This window comes from Homo sapiens, chromosome 13, assembly GCF_000001405.40.
Source record: "Homo sapiens chromosome 13, GRCh38.p14 Primary Assembly".
Classification (NCBI taxonomy): domain Eukaryota; kingdom Metazoa; phylum Chordata; class Mammalia; order Primates; family Hominidae; genus Homo; species Homo sapiens.
This window is the reverse complement of record NC_000013.11, coordinates 111,954,978-111,961,299: the sequence shown is the minus strand read 5'-3', so window position 1 is coordinate 111,961,299 and position 6,322 is coordinate 111,954,978.

Below are 6,322 nucleotides of genomic sequence, written 5' to 3'. Positions count from 1 at the left end.
CCAGAGGTGCAGGAGAAAAACACTGTTTCAGAGAGACCAGTGGGGTGCAGGATGGGAGGTAGGGATAGGCCTCAGATGAGGAGGACGTGTATCCACTGAGTTCACCCAAAATGAGGCGAGAGGACAAATCATAGTACACAGCAGGGAGCTCCCAGAGGGACCCATATCTTAAAGTGCAGTCATTAAAAAATATAGAAAGTACAAAGAGGAAAACAACCAGCCCATTATCTCACAACCAGATAACCCCAATTATATAAAAATAAGTTATATACATAGCAAGGAAATGCAAACATTATAGGAAAGTACAGAATGAAAAGTGAAAATCTTTTAAAGCCATGCTAATACTCCACAAATTCTCAGCTCCTTTGCTAATAGCTAACCACTGATGACAGTTTTCTGTGTTCTTTTTTAGGAGAAAATAACAGAGAAAAAGTAGAATCTTTACATTGTGTTTTATCCATCCATCCATCCATCCATCCATCCATCGGTCCACCCATCCATCTATTCATTCATCCATCTACTCATCCATCCAACCATCCATCCATTTCTCCATCCATCCATCCATCTATCCCTCTATCCATCTGCCAATTTATCAATCTATTTATCTATCTATCCATCCCCATCTCTATTTATCCATCCATCCTCTCTATCTATCAATTCATCTCTATCTATCCATTCATCTCTATCTATTCATCCATCCATCTATTCATTCATCTATCCATCCATCTCTGTATTCATCCATCTATCCCTCTATCCACCCATTCATTCATTCATCTCTCTATCTATCCCTCCATCCATCTATTCATTCATCTGTCCATCCATCTCTCTATCCACTCATCCATCCACCTATCTATTTATCCATCTATCTCTCTATCCATCTATCTCTATATTTATTCATCCATCCATCCATCCTTCCATCTCTCTATCCACCCATTCATTCATCCATCCATCTCTCTATTTATCCATCTATTCCTCTATCTATCCATCTATCTCTATATCCATCCATCTCTCTATCTACCCATTCATTCATCCATTCATCTATTTACCTATCCATTCATCTATTCATCCATCCATCTATTCATTCATCTATCCATCCATCTCTCCATCCATCCCTCTATTCACCCATCCTTTCATCCACCCATCCATTCATCTCTCCATCCATCCGTCTCTTTATCTATTCATCTATCCACCCATCCATTCATCTCTCCATCCATCCGTCTCTTTATCTATTCATCTATCCATCCATCCATTCATCTATTTATCCACACATCCATCCATCTCTCCATCCGTCCATCCATCCATCCATCCATCCACCCATCCATCTCTATCCATCCATTCATCCATCTATCAATTTCTGTAGCTATTCATCTATCCATCTGTCTCTCTACTTATTCATCCATTCATCCATCATCCACCCATCTGTCCATTTATCTTCCCCTCCACCCATCATCCATTCATCCATCTATCCATCCAGCAGAATACATACATATATTAAGAAATAAGAAGATGTTGGCAGGCACTGGGATTATTTCTCAAATAATTTTTAATCTGAAGGTAGCTTCATAAATAAACATAAGAATTTTCTGTTGGCAACCTGTATTTTTGTGAAATCCTTACGAGCATGAAGACAGGAACCTGTCACTCCCTTTGCTGCAAAAGTTTGAGCCCACCCTGGAATCCTCTGAACACAAGGGTTGATGTTAGGAGGTGGCCTTGACTCTTTTGCTCAAAACTTCTTGGGTTCCGTGAAGGCAGACATGTTTTGCCCAGTGTAAGGGCAGCCAGTTAGTGCAGATTAACTGAAGGTTTAAGCAAACTAACCAAAATGAGGAGGGGTAGGAGGCCATTTTGGATAGAGTTTGGTTCAGAAAAGTAAGTTAATGAATAACAATCGTGTTGAGACCCAGGTGCAGGTCCAGATTTTATGGGGCCTGAACTTCTAGAATTTTGGGTGCCTTCTTTAATGAAGACATAAAAGTTGCAAATATGAAATATAAATACAAAATTAAGTACAGAGCCTTGGAAGTGGCCCAGGCCCAGATGTTTTGTTGGCTTCATGGTCGTTCTCTCGTCCCCTGCCAAGGTCCTAGCACAATGCTTCTGTGCTCATGGGCTGTTGCAGGTTACGGCGGCAGCTCTCAGCTGGAGGCTGTTCTTCCCCCAGGGGACATTTGGAAATGTCTGAAGACACTTTTGACTGTCCTGACCATGGGACACAGGGAATGCTACTGGCATCTAGTGGGTAGAGGCCAAGGATGCTGCTAAACATCTGATAATGCTCTGGACAGGCCCCAAGAACAAAGACCTTCCCAGCCCAAAGTGTCAATAGTACTGAGGCTGAGAAGCCCGGAGTTATAGCTAGAGATGTGTTCTCACACAACACCCAGCCACGGATCAATTGATTCCAGCTGGAGTGCTCAAAATATAGTTTACGAGCTGCATTTGCAAACTCAGACTCATCTAGGTGTGTGTGAAACGTGGGCTGGGTTCCGTGGGTGCCCACCACCCACTGGCGCATGGAGCCCCTCAAACTCTTAGCGTGACCCTCACTCAGCCAGCACCACTGGTTGAGGGCATTGTTTATACCTCTATGCCATTGTGCATGCTTTTTGTTCAGCAACCAAGTTACATTTAAATCTTCTGCCTTCATGCTAAAGTAATATATTTTAATGCTTATACCCATAAATCATTCATTTCAAAATTCTCATCTCTTATGAATAAGTTCATCATTTTCATTCACATTTTGTCACAGAAATTAGGAGTTTAGCTTTTCGAAAATTTCATTTTCCACTTGTCTTTTATGTGCGGCAAGATAGTAAACCAGCAGATTAGCTTTTCTTCCATCACAGCAGAGGAGGACGAGCTAGAAAGTAACACAATCAAAACAAATTGCTTAGGAAAATAATTCCTTTATTTAAAGGAATTACCAATAAGCAGGCTCCTTTCACAAGAAACATAAACTGTCATGGAGCTAGCCAGGGTCGGAGTATGTGCAGTGTGAATTATACTCTCTTCTCCAGAGTCACTGTTCCAAATTATAGCAATACTCACATCTTGTGAATGACATCTTAAAGCAGAGTAAGTTAAACACCACGTAAAGACTGACTGCTTCTAGTGTTATTTTACAAGCGTGAATCTAGAAGAAGACACTGTTTCCCTCGTGTCTGGCTGAGCGCGAACGCCCCTGGCCCCGGCGTTTCCTGAGTCAGCCTCACACGACTTGACCGAGGTTGTACCCGGTGATGCCATTTCTCAGGGATTTTTTTTTCGTGGGAAGTGTACAATTATTTTCTCCAAAAATGATCAGACCAGCCAGGGAGTTATGAAAATGATGGCTTTGATCCTAGAGGCTGCCTCATCTTGATTATACAACAACCAGGAGCACCTACTGCAAAATAAAGACATCCAAGTGGCAGGCTGCTGCATTTAGAACACCTGCATTCAAATAAAAAGGGGATGCCAATTGGGCAGTCTGCTGCATTTAGAGTACCTGCATTCAAATAAAAAGGGGATGCCAATTGGGCAGTCTGCTGCATTTAGAACACCTGCATTCAGATAAAAAGGTGATGCCAATTGAGAGTCGATTTAATTTTTTAAAAACCCATTTAAAATAAATGCAAGCAAAGGCTCGAAATTCATTGATATGTTTGCTTTCTTTGGGTCATTTTCACTGTATGACTAAAGGAAAGAGGTGAATTAAAGTTATCTCAGGATATTACTTGTAAGAGGTTAAAGTATGTTCTAATGGGCAGATTAATTCTGTGGGGAAATAACATTAAGTCTTTCTGAAGCCTTGAAATTTCTCAAAAGCATTCTTGCTGCTTTCTTGCATTGCCACAAATGCAATCATCTGGCTAATCTTAAATAACTTTGCACTTAAGCCCTGTCAATTTGATCTTCCAAGGTTAATTGATTATTTCAACAAGCATTCTTGCCAGAAAAGATCTGAGTGCTCACATCTTTTCATTAATTCATGCTGTTTGGTGAGAAGGTGAAAAATACGAAGGGGTTGTTTGATTTAACCCTTTCATTGCCCAGCCTCCAAGGAAGATGGAGAAACAGGTCTGCGGCTTGCCCTGCCCGATGAAACCACAGCCTCATGGGCAGAAGCAAAACGAATTAGCACACGTCTTCACAGGCCCAGGCTGAGTTACGGGAGGACTCAGGTAGGTGTTCATGCCGCGATGAAAACAACTGACTTCATTTCGAGTCTTGCTAAGCCTGACGTTCGGCACCTCTGCGGCAGCAAACGGTTCACGTTGGACAAAGCCTGACCAGGGCTGCCTGGGTGCTGAGGACGAGGTCTACCAGCAATGCATAACCGCGACGGGCACGACCAGGACAGGGGGTGTCCCCGCTCACACAGACCTGCGCCACGGCCCATGGGTTGAACGGTAGAGCTTGGTCAGGAGCCACGGTTTTTGGAACAAGCGTTAAGATTATGCAGGCATTATTACGTTTCCTAAAGAGACTGGAAGAAGCCCCAACCTTCTGTGGCATGAGGAGGACCGTGAGCCTGCCTGGTGCGCCCGTGGTACAGCACGATTGTCTCTGAAGACAACCATTTCCGACCCCAGATGCGGGCGCGACGAGTTCCTGCTGTTCTCATCCCCCAAACCGCCCCAAACGCACACACAGCCCCCGCACCCCTCCACGGCCTCCACTTCTTCCCCCGCAGGCTTAAACAGCACAGACGCTACTTTCGCGAGTGGTCGGGGCCTGCGGCCTCCACGCCTTTCACAGCTTCCCGCCCGCCTTTAGCAGGAATGCTGCATTTTGGGGGGTGATTCCTATTTTTCTGAATTAGGCACAGCGGAGAGCAGAGGGAGGAAGAAGAGAGAAGCTGAGGGGGCTCCCTGGCTCCCCCACGGTGCCCGCCCCCTGGCCTGTGACTCCGGGGTGGGCACAGCCGAACGGGGCTCAGAGGCACCCGCGTCCCCGAGCGCACGCGGCCGGCTGGCAGGGCCCTCCCAGCCCTCCCTCCGCTCACTTCCAAATGGAAGCAGCCCCACCGCCCAGGAACGGGAAGGAGAAGGCCACAGCTTTATTTACATAACACAAGAGATATCACAATAAACAAGCATTAATCATGATCATTACACCAAATCATGCAAAATGATGCTGCTGACCGCTTCCGCGGCACATCGGTTATTTTTTGTTCCTTTTCTTTTCCTCTTGGAAAAAGGGAAAATCGACAGAATCATTAGGAGCCATCCAGGGTCTCCCCAATTAAAATGTGTGTAAATGGAACACACATGAAGTGCCCGATATGTGGCAAATTAGTACAGAAAATACGGAGGCCTGTGCATCTCTCGATGCCGCCTGCGAACCGCGCATGACAGGTATGATTGCCCTCTGTGGAATTATTTAAGCCCTGCAGGAATTCCCAGCATCAGGGAGTGTCAGGGCACTGTTATTAGACAAGTTTAATTAGGATCTACCCTGCTGCTTCCAGCAAGTATTTAATTAACTTCCAGGCAGGGTAATTAGCTTGAGATTGCGGCTGATTTTCTTCCTCACCTTCTGTTGACACTTGGCCTATGCGCGGCCCCCCGCTTTGCTGACAGTGTAATGGATAGCATCGTCGGGAAGCCCAACGTCAAGGCTGCTAGTCTAAGAAACAGCCCGGCGATGAAGATAAAGACGAAGCAATGTCCGCCGGCGTGTCCAGGGTGGTGCACAGGGCTGGTTTCCACAGAGACACAACAGGCCACCTGAGCGGAGGGGACAGCCCGGCCCTGATGACTTCAGGCAAGGAGCAATGAAGAGGAAGATGCCCCGGGACAGCCAGCCGGCCCTCCTGCCCCAGCTGCACCTGCCCAGCGACCGTGGGCTCCCTCCCCTCCAGCAGGCACCGCAGGGGGGTTCTCACCTTCTCCTCCAAACACATGCTGGTGCCTGGTGGAGGCTTGGGCCTGACACCTGCTCATGAAGACACAAACAACTAAGGGGCATTGCCCAAGCCATTGGCAGCCCCAGGAACCTCACTGGTTCTTGGAGGCAGCATCTCCACCATAGCCAGGGAGTTTATTCTCCTTCCTACCACCACCTGCAACACCCCTACGCCAACATCTGTGATAAAGATAACAGGACTTGAAGCTGTAACACCACGAGGAACATTCGGGGACTGGGGAAGGGGTGGATGCAGAGGTCAGCATCCCTCCTTTGCAAGATGATGCAAGGTTGAGTCATCCACACCTGGCTACAGAAGTCCACGAGTCTTACAAGGAAATCGGTTCATATATGCACACCACCTTCACACCCGCATCGTTCGCAGTAACCAAAAGACAGAGGCCACCCAAGCGTGCAGCCATGGATGAGT